Below are 17,874 nucleotides of genomic sequence, written 5' to 3' on the forward strand. Positions count from 1 at the left end.
AGGGAACAGCACATAAAAAGACGTGGAAGCAGGAAAGAGCTTGGCATATTCAAGGCCTTGAAAGGACATCAGTGTCGTAGGCATTAAGGTGGGAATGAAGCTGGAGAGGCACGGAAGGGCCAGATCATACAGCAGAGCCTCACAGGCCATGGTAAAGATCATAATCTTCATTTTAGGAGCAATAGGAGTCATTAAAAGGTGGTGAAAAGGAGAACGGCATGTTCAGGTGGCTGGCTCCTGTGGGCAGACCAATCAGAGGATGTTTGCAGGACATCACTTAAGAGACTACTGTAAAGGTCTGCAGCCCCGAAGATGCTGACACAGGTAGTGGCAGTGGAGGGCAGAGACATGGACTTCAAAAACCTTAGCTGCTTCTGTGATCACTAAGATCATTAAAACTTTATGATTCCACAAAAGTTTCTTTGCTTTAATTTACGCACAGTTAGGCCTGTACTATCTACAGATGTTTAACTGTTCTCCCATGTGTTCTAGGTCTTTTGACAAAATTAACTGACATTCCCTCCTTGAACCTTTTTTCTTGGCTTCTCTAATGTCACATTCTCCTGGTTTTCGTTTTATTTCAGTGGTTACTCCTTCCCAGCATCCTTTGTAGGTATCTCCCCTCTCTCTATCATTTCTTAATGTTTGAGGATCCTGGGATTTGATCCTGAGTCCCATTCTCTTCTCTAATACACACGTTCTCCCTAGTTAATTTCATCCAGACCCATAACTTTAAACACCGCCTTTGGCTAAAGAATTCAAATTGCCAGAGAACTCCTGACTGTCTTATCCTATCTGATATGTTAACTCAGATGCATCTCAAACTTTGGTCTAACCACTACACTCCAGCTTTCTGTTGCTCTTTAACAAGCCCTGCTAATTCCTATTTCAGAGCATTTGCACTTGGTGTTTGTTCCCTTGGCCAAAAACACTCTTTCCCCTGAACTTCACAGTTGTCTCCTTCGTAGTATTCAATTCTCAGTTTAAAGGTTATCTCCTCAGCAAAGCTTTCTCTATAGATCACTCACTCTAACAGACACCCAATCACACTACTATATCATCCTGTCTTAATTTTCTGGACAGCACTTGTTAATACTTGATATTTTTTTCTGTCTTTCCTCACCAGAAATTAAGTCCTATAAGAACAAAAGCCTTGTCTATCATCTTCATCATAAGACTGCCAGCACACACAACAGTTCAGGGTATATGGTGGTGTTCAAAAGAATATCTGCTAAACATGTGAATGAAGGTTGTTAATTTCAGATATAATTTCAAATCAACTTTTTGTCCAAAATGCACTATCAATTTTACGTATATAAAGTCTATTATGATATGAATACAACTATAAAAGATTCTCATGTGTCTCACAAGTGCAGATTGCTAGAATTCTAAAATGCATTTTCTTTGCCCCGTTATATGATAAAAAAAAATCAAACAATATATATGTTAAAGTACAGTTGACCCTTCAATAACATGGGTTTGAACTGCACAGGTCCACTTACACGTGAATTTTCTTCTGCCTCTGCCACCCAAGACAGCAAGACCAACCCCTCCTCTTCTTCCTCCTCTCTCACCTACTAAATGTGAAAATGATGAGGATGAAGACCTTATGACCATCTACATCCACTTAATGAACGGTTAATTTATTTTCTCTTCCTTAAGGTTTTCTTAGTAACATTTTTCTTCTCTTCCTTAAAAGAGTATAGCACATATTGGATGCCACATGCAGGGTTTAAAAAAAAAAAAAGAGTAGAGTATACAATACCTATAACATACAAAATGTGTTAATTTATTGTTTATTTTATTGGAAAAGCTTCCAGTCAATAGTAGACTATTAGTAATTAAGTTTCTGGAGACTCAAAAGTTAGACAGGGATTTTTGACTGTGCAGGGGGTTGGATCACCTAACTGCCATGTTGTTCAAGGGTTAACTGTACATGAGTCAAGGAAAACTTAAGTGTATACAATACCTATCCATGATCATAGTGCCATTAACGATATTTAAAAGGAGGCAATAGGAAAACATGCTCCAAATGATGCACAGTGTGTACAATATCCAAGCTGACATCAGCAATGATTAACTGGGAATATCATAAAGCTGGATTCCAGTATGACTCTCCAGCAGCTCTCTGACATGCTGAACTGGTCCTATATTAAATCATCCATAGGTTCACCTATTATGGATTTGTTAAGTCAAAGGAATGACTGGCTTTATTAATCACTTATTAACGTGGTAATCCTAAGAAATATGAGTAACAAAAAAAAGACAAATCTGTGAGTTTTTTCAGTCAAATTTTAGGAGTAATGGGGTATTTGTTTTTAAAGATCCAAAGTTTTAAAGGTGACTGCCTGTTTTAGAGATCAAGACATGAATTACGTAAAATAAAATTAAAAAGGAAAAAAAGACATGAATTATATTATTTCTCAAACTGTTTTTCCAGTGATTCTGACAAGTGTACCCTTCATGAGATACCCACGCTTCTCAAGACATTACAGAAAATTCTTCACGTGTCTCTACATTTCTATCCAGAAATACTGTTTTATTATTTGTAGATTATTGAACTGGCTTATCAAAATTTCAGTGTTTTATTTTTAAAATCTAGTTTAAAAACAATGAGGCAAATTAGATGGAGTGGAGTGTGCAGGGGTGAGAGTTAGCAGAAGATGAGGTTGAAGCAGTGACGAGAGTCCTGGTAAGCATGGAGCATGCTAAACCATCACGAAGACTTGGTCTTTTGGTAAATGAAATGGAAAAGCTTTTGACGGTTTTGTACAAAAGAAGAGTGACAAGATCTGACAACATTTTAAAAAGATCACTCCAGGCCAGGAACAGTGGCTCACACCCATAATCCCAGCACTTTGGGAGACCAAGGTGGGCAGATCACTTGAGGCCAGGAGTTCGAGACCAGCCTGGCCATCATGACGAAACTCCGTCTCTACTAAAAATACAAAAATTAGCCAGGTGTGGTGGCACACGCTTGTAATCCCAGTCACTTGGGAGGCTGAGGCACAAGAATTGCTTGAACCCAGGAGGCAGAGGTTGCAGTGAGCCAAGATTGCGCCACAGCACTCCAGCCTAGGCGACAGTGAGAGACTCTGTCTCAAAAAAACAATTTTTTAAATCACTCCACCTGCTGGTTTGAACATAGATTGTACAGAAGTGCAGCAAAAATTGGGAAACCAATTAAAAATTTAATACAATAATACAAGTGATAAATAATGGTGGCTTCAACCAGATTATAAGAGTGGAGGTGGTAAAGAAGTAAGCAGATTGTGGATATATTCTAAAGGTGAGCCATCAGGGAGTAGATTGAGGGGTTAGGGAAGTAGAGATCAGGGAAGAGGTACAGGCAAAAAATACAAAGTTGAATGTCATCAGCATACAAAAATGGCATTTAAATGGCATCAGAAATCTTAAGACTAGAAGAGCCCTGGGCACTCCAACATTTAAAAGTAGAAAAGATAACAGTAACAACTAAGCAGGGGTAGCCAGAGTTAAAAACAGGCAGAGTACAGAAGACTTTTAGGGCAGTAAAAAGACCTACAAAATTGATAAACTCTTGGTGAGATGAATGAAGAAAGAGGGAAGGCATAAATAATATCAAAACTGAAGAAGAAATCACTATACATGTATTATAGATATTAAAAGATAAGGTGTTTTACACAATTTTGTGCTAATAAATTTGAAAATCTAAATAAAACTGAAAAATCATAGGTAAATACAACTTACCAAAACTGACATACAAAAGAAAAAGAAAATCTGAATAATTTAAAAAACTGAATCCTACAAAGAAAATTCCTGATCCAGATGGCTTCACCAGCAAATACTTAAGAATAAAACTATATCAATCTTACATAAACTCTTCACAAAAGAGAGCTTTCCAACCCATTTATAAGGCCAGCATAACATCAACATAAAAATCTGTCAAGGACATTATGAAAACGGGAAAATTATTGGCCGAATCTCACTCTAACACATAAATCTTAAACAAAAGATCAGCAGATCAGGCCGGGCGCGGTGGCTCACGCCTGTAATCCCAGCACTTTGGGAGGCCAAGGCAGGTGGATCACGAGGTCAGGAGATCGAGACCATCCTGGCTAACACGGTGAAACCCCGTCTCTACTAAAAATACAAAAAATTAGCTGGGCGTGGTGGCGGGCGCCTGTAGTCCCAGCTACTTGGGAGGCTGAGGCAGGAGAATGGCGTGAACCCAGGAGGCAGAGCTTGCAGTGAGCCGAGATCGCGCCACTGCACTCCACCCTGGGTGACAGAGCGAGACACTGTCTCAAAAAAAAAAAAGAAAAAAAAAAAAAAAAAGATCAGCAGATCAAATCCAGCAAGGATAACACATTATAATGAAGTTGGGATTGTTCCAGGAATACAAGGTTTACAAAATCAGTCCATGTATTTCATCTTATTAAAAAATTAAAAAGATGGCCGGGCACAGTGGCTCATGCCTGTAATCCCAGCAGTATGGGAGGCCGAGGCAGGTGGATCATCTGAGGTCAGGAGTTCGAGACCAGCCTGGACAAAATGGTGAAACTTCATCTCTACCAAAAATACAAAAATTAACCGGCATGGTGATGGGTGCCTGTAGTCCCAGCTACTTGGGAAGCTGAAATGGGAGAAATACTTGAACCTGGGAAGCTGAGATTGCAGTGAGCTGAGATTGTGCCACTGGACTCCAGCCTGGGTGACAGAGCGAGATTCTGTCTCCAAAAAAAAAAGATAAAAATTGTCTCATTAGATGCAGAAAAAATGCTTCCTAAAATTCTATATCGTTTGTGGTTTAGAAAAACAATCTAGCAAACAACAAATAGAAGGAAAGTTTCTTTATCTGAAAAAAAAGTATCTACCACAAACATCAACAGTAAACATTATATTTATGATGACACAGTGAAGGGTATCCCTTTGAGACTGGGAACAAGAAAAAGATAGACCTGTTGTCACCACGTTTATTCAGCACTCTGCTAGAGGTCCTAGACACTGCAGTTAAAAAAAAAAGGAAAAATATGAAAAATGGGAGAGTTACAAAAGATGAACTACAGCTTTCATTATTCATAGATTATATAATTGTGTACATATAAAATCCAAAATGATCTACAGATGAATTATTAGAATTAATGAGTTTAGTAAGGGTGCTGGGCATAAAGCCAATATACAAAAACTGCATTTCTATATACCAGTAACAATTATTTTTTAAAAATTTACATGATGATTCCATTTATAACAGTATCAAAAACATCAAATATCTAGGAATTAATCCCAAAAGATATTTGGGATCTTCACAGATAAAATTATAAAACATTACTGAGGAAAAAAAGGTCTAAAATAAATGGATACATCATGTTCATAAACGGGAAGACTAATTATAGTAAAGATGTCAATTCTCCCCAAACTGACCTACACAGTCAATGTAATACCAATCAGAATCATAAGAGGTTTTCTGTTTGCTTTGTAAAAATTATCATTTATTCTAAAATTTATATAGAAATGCAAAGGGCCAAGAATAGATAAGACGATCTTAAAAAAGAAAAACAAGAGGGGAGGACTTGCCCTACCAGATATCAAGACTTAATTTAAAGCTATAGCAATTAAGTCAGGTGACACTCATACAAGGAAAGACCAATGAACTAGAGAAAAGAGCCTAGAAACAGACCTACAGAAATATGGACATTTGATTTTATGACAAAAGTGGTAATGCAGAACAATGAAGAAAGGGAAGATTTTTTCCAATAAATTGTTCAAGACAACCAGATATCCATAAGGAAAAAATAAAACTTGACCTTCTTCAAATCACATCTAAACATTATTTCACATAGATTTTAGACCTGAATGTGAAAGATAAAACATAAAATGTCCATATTCTAGACCAGAGGCTCTTGGCCTGAGGTCCTCTGACCCAAAGGTCCTGTGGATAGACTTCAAGATATAAAAGATACTTTTGACACATCATTTGTATCCCATCATGCCTTAGCATTTTGGTGTGCCAGTTTCAACTGCAAGCATCTACATCTTTTTGTCTGAGGTCTTCTAGGAGCTGGTTATGAGTGCTGAGAACTGATGCCTGGCCCTCACCTGCCTTCAAATGATGTGTGTAAAGAACATGTGTAAGGAACACGATGCAAGTGAGGAACACGGGTTCCCAGAGGACCCAGAGATTCAAGCTTCTTAATACACTTAATAAAGGTTATTAAGTGCCTTCACTTCCCTCCTTCCAATCCAGTATATTTCGTGTGATCATTCCCCATATTAATTACTTACACTTGAATCCTTATCTCAGGGTCTGCTTCTGAAGAAACCAAGAAAACTAAGACCCAAAGGCATCATGAACCTTAATGGGGAAAAACAATTACTTCTCTATTTTCATAAATGCTAATTGAAAAAAACAAAGTAGTATTGGCAGTACATATGATTTTGTCTCTAACAGAATCAAAGATGTTTTCATATCACATGACAGTTACTGCATATTTCAAAGTATTTTTTACACTCATTTCTACTTTGAAATTGTTAGTTATTGGAACTACTACTAAACCGCACATGATTGCAGTCTTCCTGTCTATATTGTTCATGCAACCGTTAAGCAACTACCTCTGTGCCAACTAACTGCTGAGCAATAAAACAGTAAAATTTAACGTTTCTACAACTAGAGATCAACCCAAAAAGCCTTCAGTGAATTTTGTTGTTCTTGGAAAGCCTACCCTCACCTTAGAAAGTGAGATACTGAAATTTTAATTCCACATACAATAGCTAAACACAATTAAAACTGCCCATATTTTAAGTGCAATTTTTGTTACCGAATGCATTAATTTAAAAGTACATAATGTCTCTATCACAAACGTATTTTTTAATATCTTGAAGCTGTATTTCAATAATTTCTTTTGTAATGCTACGTATTTTATTTTATGCATTTAAAAACATCATACTACGAGGAAAGTTATTATAGGCTTCACTAGATTTGCAAAGGAATACACAGCACAAAAAAACTTAAAGCAACTCTGGCCTAGAAGATTATGTAACATAGGAAAACCCTCAGAATCTCACAGTATGAAAAACTTATTAAATAGGACTCAGAAAAACACTGATATATTTGACATTAAAATCAAATATCTCTCATCAAAAGATACCATTAAGAGAATGAATGAGCAACTAATGGAGTGGGAGAAGATCTTTGCAAAACATGTAACTGACAAAAAGCTCATACCCATAATAAAGAACTCCTACAAATCAACAAAAGACCAAAAACTATTTTAAAAACAGGCAAGGAACTTGCCCAGTTACTTTCTTTTAAATCAGTCATCCAAATACCCAATAAATAAATGAAAAGGTATTTAGCCTCATTAATAATCAGGGAAATGCACTTTAAAACTACAAGGAGGCCAGGCACAGTGGCTCACGCCTGTAATCTCAACACTTAGGGAGTCCAAAACAGGAGGATCACTTGAGGTCAGGAGTTCAAAACCAGCTTGGGCAACATAAGGAGATAACAACTCTACCAAAAAAAAATAGATAAAACTTAGCCAGCCATGGTGGTGCATGCCTGTAGTCCCAGCTACTTAGGAGGCTGAGGCAGGAGGATCGCTTGAGCCCAGGAGTTCAAGGTTACAGTGAGCTATGATCGGCCGATGTACTCCAGCCTGGGTGACAGAGTAAGACTCTGTCTCTAAAAAAACAAAAAGCAAAAAAAACTACACGGAGGTGGTACTTGACATCTACCAAATTTACAAAAGTTTAAAAGTCAGACCACATCAGCACTGGCTAGGAGCAACAGGAACTATTGTATACTATGAGAGTGTAAATTAGTATATCAACTTTGGAAAACAGATTGGTATTATCTACTGAAATTAAAGATACATATAACATATAACCCAGCAATTCTATTCCTATGTATATACCCAAGAGAAATCCACACAAGAGCCTAACAGACATGTACAAGACATCTGCTGCAGCATTATTTAATACATGTCAGAAATGGTATGGCAGATCAATGGAAAAAGAATGAACTATTCAGTAAATGTTATTGAGACAACTTTCATTTGGATTAGGGACTTAATTATAAGAGATTAAAATTTTAAGATTTTAGGAGAAAATAAAAAAGAATACTTTTATAGCATCACAGTAAGAAATTTTCCTAAACAAGATTCAAACTACAATTAACTCACTATATATTGTGGATATTTTTGTAAAATCTTTATACTTCAAAAGTAGATACTGAAATATTTACAGACGAATGACATCAGTGACACAAGCCTAAATAATCCAACTGGGGGAGGAGTAGTACAGATGAAACAAGATTGGCTGAGTGATAACTGCTGAAACTAAGTGATGGGTACATAGGAGTTCAGTACCTTTCTGTTCATGTTTGAAGAAAAATTTTTTTAATTTAGGGCATCATAAATAAAGGGAAAAGAGACCAGCCTGGGCAACATAATGAAACCTTATTTCTACCAAAAAAAAAAAAAAAAAAAAAAAAAAACTAGCCAGATGTGATGGTACACACCTGTATTCCCAGCTGAGGCAGGAGGACTGCCTAAGCCCAGGAGGTCAACGCTGCAATGAGCCGTGACTGTGCCATTGCACGCTAGCCCGGGTGACGGATTGAGACTCAGTCTCAAAAAAAAAAAAAAGAAAAGAAAAAAAAGAAAAACACAAACTCTGTTAAGTTCAGAACTGTGGAAAACTAAATATTACCTTATTTGGGAATTTAGATGAGTGAAACTTTTTTAAATAAAATAATAAACATGAAAATCAGGATTCTGGTTGCCTGGGGTGGGAGGGGAGGAAGGAGATGCATGGAGAAAGATAAAGGACCCATTTGTTTTATGTTCTTTGTCTCAAGTTGAGGAGTAGGGTACATGTGTATTTGTTTATTCTTTATTATATCTTATATAACATGTTTTATATATACTTTTTTAATTTATGAAATATTTTGTAATTTAAAAAAAATCAGAGAATTTTAAAACCTCTTAAAAATTAAAAATTTAATAGCAGAAAAAAATTACTTTGAAGTTACATCTGAAAAGTCCCCCAGAAATTAAAAGAAAAAGATGAATAAGTGGACAACAGTAAAGGGGGAAGATAGTAAAATAGAGAATTAGTGTAAAAGTATCCATATCTGAATAAGAAAAGATTCAGAGAGAGAAAGAAATAACACGAAAGAAATAATATAATCTCTCAGAATTGAAAGACATGAGTTTCAGATTTAACAGGTCCCCCAAATGTCGTAGCGTTAGTTGGATAGTGTGCTTTGGCTTTGATTCTGGGTGAGTGCAGGAGAGTAGTCTTCATACAATTTCTTCAGGTGTAGTCAGTGTCAGTGGTGGCTGTGAGTTACTCATTGGCTTAGGCTGTGGTTGGTAGCAGAGGCTGTAGTGAGGCTTTGCTGCAGACAGGGACACCAGACAGGCCAGTTCTGAGGCACCCGTGGTGGCAGAGGCAGGCCAGGCATGCAGGCCCTTGGGCTCCCAGGCAGCATACAAGACGCCAGTAGTCACAGGTCCAGGAGGACCAGTCCTTGGGCCTACAGGCAGCTTGCTCAGGTGCCAGTGGTTATGGAAAACAGTACGGAGTTTTCTCAAAAAAACAAAACTAGAACTACCATACAGTTCATCAATCCCACTAATGGGTATTTATCCAAAAAAAAGGAAATCAGTGTATCAAAGGGATAGCTACACTCCCATGTTTACTGCAACACTATTCACAATAGCCTAGATATAGAATCAACCTACATGCCCATCAGTAAATGAAGGGATAAATGAAATGTGGTAAATATACACAGTGGAATACTATTTGGCTGTACAAAGGACAAAATCCTATAACTTGTAGTAACATAAATGGAACTAGAAGTCATTATGTTACATGAAATAAGACAAGCACACAAAGAAAAAGTACCGTTATTTTCTCAATCTTATGTGGGAGCTAAAAAAGGAGATGAAGAGAAATTGGTTAATTGGTACAAATACACAGTTAGATAGATGGAATAAGTTCTAGTGTTCAATAGTACAGTAGGGTGGCAATGGTTAACAATAATATATTGTACATTTCAATTAACTAGAAGATTTGAAATGTTACCAACACAAAAAGAGATAAACATTTGAGGTGATGGATATCCTAAATACTCTAATTTGACCATCATTACACATTACGCATGTATCAAAATATCACATGTATCCCATATATATATCAATTAAAAAGTTTATTGAGATATAATATCGAAGGTCAGTGATTTTTCAACCCAATTCTATGCCCGAGAAAATCAAGCATAAGAAAAAAATCTTTCAGACACGTAAGGCCTGAAAAAATGTTTTTTCCCATTCACCTTTCTTCAGGAACCTATTGGGGGATATCTCCATCAAAACAAGAAAAAAGGAAGATAAATGATGCTAAGAAACAGAAAATTTAACAAAGGAGAGAGGCAAAGAGAATTTCCCAAAGTTGGTAAAAGAAAATCCGAAAATGGTAGCTCTGCTATTTTAGACTGGTAGAGCAATTAAGCTGAATGAGAGCAAAGAGAACTCATGTTCCCAGAATACCTCCTATGTGGGATTATACTGAGAAAAGAGTCAAAGCAGTTCTAAGGATGAATTAGGTATATAGAAAAAAAAGCAAACCATAAAACAAAGCAATTACTATCTCCAAAGTAATTACTATTAAGAATAATCTGTACAATCTTAATAACATAAACAATAACTTCTGATTTACCCAAAATCATGAGATACCTACATCAGGAAGATAGGAGCAAGTGAAATGAATATGTGTATATATTAGATGTGAAGATGATGTTGGGGATATCAACCCCTCACCTTTATCAAGCTAAAGCCTCAGCTTCTACAGTGGGAAGGCAAAAAATAATATATATAACTCAGGGGGCTGGGCAGAATCAAGAAATGGGAGCACCTGCAAGTTATTGAAGGACATGGAAGGAAATAGCAAAATATTCAACTTGACAAATAATTGCCTCCTGGACACAGGAATTAGCGTTGGAATAATGAGGCAAGCAGTACATCTTTTCATTGTGAATCCAGTATTATTTTACTTTTTAAGTTATGTACATATGCTATTTTTAAACACAAAACTTAGTTTTTAAAAACGCAAATAAGCCAAGGTCAAATAAGAGTAATAAGAATAGCCATTATTTCCCAAGCGCCTACAACCTGTGAGCAAAATACCAGGTCTTTTACAAACACCACTTTTATTCTTCAGGCCAGCTTTGCCAAGGAGGATTATCCCAGTTTTACAGATGAGAAAACTGAAAATAAAAATAAATAAGGAACATTTTAAATTCTTTTATTTGTTTATTTCGTATGTTTTTGTTTGATCCTTTACCTTTCCAGCAGTAGCAAAATATTCACCATCAGGAGACCATTCCATCAAATGTACAGATACTGAGGTTCTAAAAAAGAGAGAGTTAGGCAATTAGCCCTTTTAAAATCTGGTGTACTGTATATAAAAATGGTCAAGATGAGATTTTTGTAACATCAAAGTCAGAATCCTCAGAATAAGACTGTTTTTGCTTCCCTAAAAATATAAATAAAATATTTCACCTCCATAAAAATGTAAATTTATTAAAACTAATCCAACATTCACTTTGGGAAAAGAAGAATGTAAGTAACATGAATACAGTATATCTCCACCTACATGTCCCACCAACATCCTAAATATAACATGTTAAAAGCTGAGCTTATCATCATCCCTGACTAGTCTTCGTCACATAATCTATATGACTGTTAATAGTACATCTTCCACTTGAAAGAGTGGCTGGCAACTTTCACATCTTCCCCCTCTCCATCCTTACCTCAATCTATTAATGAGTATTTCCTATGTATCAACCCTGTCAACTCCTGTCCTGGGGCTATAACTATGAAAATACTTTCATCCTTTTTTTAAATGATTAACTATAGCACAAATTAAAGAATGCTATTATATGGGTTTTGGTTAGAAAAAAATCTACTTTCTAGGCATCTAAATGCAATGGTACCATCAAAAAATAAAGATCTTTGTGAAAGGAAACATATTTTAGGAAGCACTTGCTTTTAATTAATGAATATAACAATAGAAATAGACACTAACTTGCACTGCCAGACACACTTCCAATCATTTAAAACAGGAGGAACTGTATTATCAATTTCTTCCTCCTCTTCCAGAATATCATCTCCTGGAGGAGCCCACAACTGAATAGAATCAGTTGCTGTCAACAATCTATTATCTGAAAATTAAAGAATGTTATGATGAATATGCAAATATTATATAGGGAAATAAATGCACATGGGCTTCTGTTTAGATCTGTAAACTATTAATATTATGTGAAAAGTAAGCAATATCGCCAACGAAAAACACTTGGTATATATTTTTTTAAAGTCCCTTATAAGAAAAAAGAATCTTCTGGACAACAAAGATTCTTAAGGAAGATTTGAGAACAACAAAGTAAAGCTTACTGGCAAAGAGCTATTATTATCAAGCAAGTCAAAAAAACTAACAACAAATGTATTAATAGAATAACAAAGTCCCCAAAACTCTGATATATACCACATAAAATGTCCTCGAGATATAAGGCATAACTACAAATTAATAAAATGTGGTTTTACACATGAAATATAAAAAGAATCCTTATTAATTGTGAATATAAAAAGGGACAACAGCTATTATCATTAGAAATTCCTAATTTTTCAAAATTAAAGATAGTAATTTCCTGATACAAATGATAAAATGAGGTGAAGTTTTTTTGGTCTCTGTTTTATTTCCAATGGTGTTTCTTAGCAAATACAACAAGAGTAAAGGGCAGTACACATTAACTAGGAAACAAATCATAACTGCTTCTTGAAATAAAACACACAAAGGCAGGGGAAAAAACAGAATAGTAAATTAAGCATTGCACAAAGCACTGTATACCAAGAAGGAAAAATTATATTCATCAACAAAAAGAAAATATAATACATTGATCATTTTCTTATTATGGGAGACTATATCACATTATTATCATACATTTAAAACAAATATTTAATTTAAATAATTTTAAATACAATTGCTAAATACCTTGAGGATCCCATGCTAAGTTGTATGTCACAGAACTCAAAAAAAACTGCCCAGTTTTAAGCCACTGGCACTTGAGTTGCTGAAATACGTAGACAAAAAGAAATAAGAAAAAAGAAAAAGATGTTTTTCAAATAATATCCCAAAACACTACCATTTTATCATTTTCTTCAACTTAAGACTTTAAGATCTGGAACAAAGATGAAAATATTTCACTATTATTTTCATATACTGTTTTTAACGTAACTTTCATTGGTTCCACTACTATTTATTATACCATATTGAGCTCCTTGCCATGCCCAAACAAAGCAGGTTCTCTCACGCTTTTTCTCATGCCTATAAATACCTTCTTATATTTAGGATATCCTATTCCTCACGTCTCCATCTGCAAACCCCTATCCTTCCACTAAGATTAGCTAACTCATCATCTCTGCTATGAAGCCTTCTCTGACATCCTGGCAGCACCAATACCACTTTTACATTCTGCCATTATAACACTGATCACATGGAATTAGTATTGGTCTATACATCTGACTCTCCTCCCACTAAATTGCAACTCTTCAAGGGCAGAAACTGTGTCATAATTTTGTTATCTTCAGCGTTTGTAATGGCTGGCATAAAGATGTTAAATGTTTACATATTTCTTTGTAGTACATAAATATAAAATGTCCTTTTGTGAGAGGACATTTGTGAAAAGCTTTGCAAAGCTATGTTACCTTAGGCAAGCTATATGTTAACGGCTTGGCAAATAATACTGTTTAAACGGTAATGCCATTTTGTGTTATAATATTTTAAGAATATTTAACAATTTTAAAATGTATACAAGGTTTCCTGACTACCTCAAGGCAGAATTTTAAAACATAGCTGCATCCCAACAGTTTGGGAGGCCATGACAGGAGGATTGCTTAAGGCCAGGAATTTGAAACCAGCCTGGGCAACATTGCAAGACCCCCATCTCTATAAAAACTTTAAAAATTAGCTGGGCATGGGAGCTCACACCTGTAGACCCAGCTACTTTGGAGGCTGAGGCAGAAGGATCACTTTAGCCCATGAGTTTGAGGTTATAGTGAGCTATGATGATCACACCACTGTATTCCAGCCTGGGTCACAGAGCAAGACTCTATATCTAAAAAAAATGTGTGTGTGGGGTGTGTGTGTGTGTGTGTGTGTGTGTGTGTGTGTGTGTGTGTGTGTGCATCTGCAAACCCTGCACTTCATTATCCAAAAATTATTTGATATTTTATAATCAGAGAAAATGCTATTTTTAAACCCTACCACTGCTGACCAAACAACAATCACAACAGCATAACACTAAATACTGTTCAACAAATCTATTTTAGTGTAGTAATTAAATAATTCCTAAAATTATAGACATCCCTAATATTCTTTCCTTTAGTGTTCCTCAGAGTGCAATCTGTGGAGCAACTACCTTGAAGAAATTTGGGGAATGAGACCTGGAAACCTAAATGTTTAGTATGTGCTCTAGGTGACTCTTAAGTAGTCCAAAATTTGATATCCATTTCACAATACTATTATAGGGAAAGATTAATATTTTAATTTATACTGTTTTGGGGGAATGTAAAAAGATATATTCAAATACATATATTTAATGAAAAAATACCAAAACCATTTGTTTTAAGGCATTTCACTTAAAAATATACTTTAAAAATTATTTGTAAATATATACTCAGCATTCAGATTTAGCATTTGCAATTTTGATTATTTCTGAGTGATGGTAAAAATGTAATGCATGCAGGATGTTTTAAAGGGCTTAATTCTAACCACATTAGATGTTTTGAACATTAAGTAAGACAAATATAATATAGCACCCAGTATGAATCTGAATGGTTCACAATGTGGTATGCTTAACCACTTAGCTGAGCTGGTAAGTGAGCTTTTTAAACTCCTAACTTCTTCATTCAACCAACATTTAGGAATACCTACTATGTTCCAGATACTTTTTTTTTTTTTTTTTTGAGATGGAGTCTTGCTCTGACTCCCAAGCTGGAGTGCAATGGTGCAGTCCAGGATCACTGCAACCTCCACCTCCTGGGTTCAAGCGATTCTCCTGCCTCAGCCTTCCTAGCAGCAGGGACTATAGGCACGTGCCACCACACCTGGATAATTTTTTTATTTTTAGTAGACACGGGGTTTCACCATGTTGGCCAGGCTGATCTCAAACCCCTGACCTCGTGTTCCACCCGCCTCAGCCTCCCAAAGTGTTGGGATTACAGGTGTGAGCCACCACACCTGGCTGTTCCAGATACTGTTCTAAGTACTGGGGACTCATCAGTGAAAAAAGCTTCCTACCCTTATGTACCTTTAGATAACATTTTACATAGTAAACAATAAATAAATAAATGCTGTAAAAAAATTTTTAAATAGCAAGATAAGTGGGGGTACAATTTTTTAAAGGGTGGTCAAGGTAAACCTCATTGACAAGGTATTAGTGAGCAAAGACCTAAAGGATCTATGGGAGCTATCCTTGGAGATAGCTGGAGGAAAAACATTCCTGACAAAGAAAACAAACAACACAAAGGCTCAAAGAGGGAAGGTTAACTGAGAAACAGTAAAAATGCCAATGTGGCCAGAGTAGAACCAGAGAGGACAAGAACTTACGAGGTGAGCTCTGAGACATAGTAACTGTGCTACTGAGTAGAAGGGAAGTTGTAGTCTACAAAAGGCTTTTGGCTTTTTATCTGAAAGAAATATGGAGCAGCTGGGCATGGTGGCTCATGCCCATAATTCCAGCAATTTGGGAGGCTGAAGTGGGAGGATCACTTAGCCCCAGAGTTCAAGACCAGCCTGAGCAACACAGGGAAACTCCATCTCTACGAAAAATTTAAAAATTAGCTGGCCATGGTGGTACATGCCTATAGTCGCAACTACTTGGGAGGTTGAGGTGGGAGGACCATTTGACAGGTTGAGGCTGCAGTGAGCAGTGATCATGCCACTGCACTCCAGCCCAGGGGATACAGTGCGACCCTGTCTCAAAACAAAAGAAAAAAGAGAGAGAAATATGGAACCATTACAAAGTTTTAAGCAGAGAAATGTCATGATCTCCTCTGTTGAGAACAGACACTGGGGCTGAAGGCAGCAGGAAACCAGATATCAGATAGATATTAGTAATCCAGACAAGAAATAACAGTAGTTCAAACTAGGGTAGATCTCAGTTAACACAGTAAATGTCAATTTGCAATATTCTAGAGACTTGGGTTTCTAAAAGCACTAGGGATGTATCCGTAGTGAATGTAAGGATCCTAACATAAAGCACTAGACCAATTTTTCACTGATACTCTAGTCTATTTTCAGCACTAGCTCCTAAGGAGCTTTTTATTAACATCAATTGGATTCTAAAGTTAACTAGATTCTAAAAGTATTCTATTATTGGTTAATACTTACACAATTTCTTTTATGAGAATTTATGCCCAAGGGCTCAAATATACAAACAGCATTACCATATGAAGCTGCAATCTAAAAAAGAATAAATACAGCATTAATATCTAGAAAAGGGTAAAATAAAGATATCTTCCTTTTCATAATAATGTATAAACTAATTACATATAATCTCAATACAGTATTCATGGTTTATTTCCTTCCATAAATATACCTGGAAGTGTACTGGAGTTAAGAGTCTCTCCCCTGTTATCAAAAAATTCAGCAGGCTTTATTTTACATATCATATACAAGGTTGACCTATTCAAAGAAATCATATTTGGATGGACAGCTGCCAAGATGGCTGAATAGGAACAGCTCTGGTCTACAGCTCCCAACGAGATGGACACAGAAGGCAGGTGATTCCTGCATTTCCAACTGAGGTACCAGGTTCATCTCACTGGGACTGGCTGGACAGTGGGTACAGCCCGCAGAGGTTGAGCTGAAGCAGGGTGGGGCGTCACCTCACATGGGAAGCACAAGGGGTCAGGGAATTTCCCTTTGCTAGCCAAGGGAAGCTGTGAGAGACGGTACCGGGAAGAACAGTACACTCTAGCCCAGATACTGCACTTTTCCCATGGTCTTCACAACCAGCAGAACAGGAAATTTTCTCCAGTGTCTGGTTCAGCGGGTCCCACCCCCACGGAGCCCAGCAAGCTAAGATCCACTGGCTTGAAATTCTCACTGCTATCACAGCATCTGAGGTTGACCTGGGACACTCGAGCTTGGTGGGAGGAGGTGCATCCGCCATTGCTGAGGCTTGAGTAGATGGTTTTACCCTCACAGTGTAAACAAAGCTGCTGGGAAGTTTGAACTGGGTGGAGCCCACCACAGCTCCCCGAGACAGAGCACGTGGGGGAAGGGGCGGCTGCAGGCACAGCTTCAGCAGACTTAAACGTCCCTGCCTGACAGCTCTAAAGAGAGCAGCAATTCTCCCAGCACAGCATTCGAGCTCTGATACAGGACAGACTGCCTCCTCAAGTGGGTCCCTGACCCCCCCGTGTACCCAGACTGGAGACACCTCACAGTAGGGGCCTACAGACACCACATACAGGAGAGCTCTGCCCGGCATCTGGCGGGTGCCCTTCTGGGACAAAGCTCCCAGAGGTAGGAACAGGCAGCAATCTTTGTTGTTCCGCAGCCTCCGCTGGTGATACCCAGGCAAACAGGGTCTGGAGTGGACCTCCAGCAAACTCTAGCAGACCTGCAGCAGAGGGGCCTGACTGTTAGAAAGAAAACTAACAAACATAAAGGAATACTATCAACATCACCAACATTAAAGAAAAAAGGTAGATAAATCCATGAAGATGGGGAGAAACCAGTGCAAAATGGCTGAAAATTCCCAAAACCAGAACACCTCTTCTCCTCCAAATGATCACAACTCCTCGCCAGCAAGGGAACAAAACTGGA

At 37.1% G+C, this 17,874-nt stretch overlaps 1 protein-coding gene across 22 annotated transcripts in view, besides 1 other annotated feature; it reads right to left on the reverse strand.

The window, feature by feature from the left end:
• DMXL2 (Dmx like 2) overlaps nt 1-17,874 on the reverse strand; it is a 174,981-nt gene that overhangs the window by 104,265 nt on the left and 52,842 nt on the right. For all 22 annotated transcript variants that reach the window (NR_165648.1, NR_165649.1, XR_007064435.1 and 19 more), the window contains exons 3-6: nt 16,432-16,503; nt 13,033-13,111; nt 12,070-12,205; nt 11,326-11,392 (exon numbers count right to left, since the gene is read on the reverse strand). Coding sequence is in view for 19 of the 22 variants with exons in the window: in NM_001378460.1 (NP_001365389.1) it covers nt 11,326-11,392; nt 12,070-12,205; nt 13,033-13,111; nt 16,432-16,503 (354 nt within the window). In the remaining 3 variants the exon portion in view is untranslated. The remainder of the gene's footprint in view (nt 1-11,325; nt 11,393-12,069; nt 12,206-13,032; nt 13,112-16,431; nt 16,504-17,874) is intronic.
• Nucleotides 16,762-17,268: an enhancer, noted in NCBI's record as "H3K27ac-H3K4me1 hESC enhancer chr15:51861014-51861520 (GRCh37/hg19 assembly coordinates)". NCBI's record gives its function as "activates a minimal SCP1, AML or CMV promoter by ChIP-STARR-seq in naive H9 embryonic stem cells {active_cell/tissue: H9 hESC(naive)}" and the evidence as "EXISTENCE:reporter gene assay evidence [ECO:0000049][PMID:30033119]".

The sequence above is a fragment of the Homo sapiens genome, chromosome 15 (assembly GCF_000001405.40).
Source record: "Homo sapiens chromosome 15, GRCh38.p14 Primary Assembly".
NCBI lineage: Eukaryota > Metazoa > Chordata > Mammalia > Primates > Hominidae > Homo > Homo sapiens.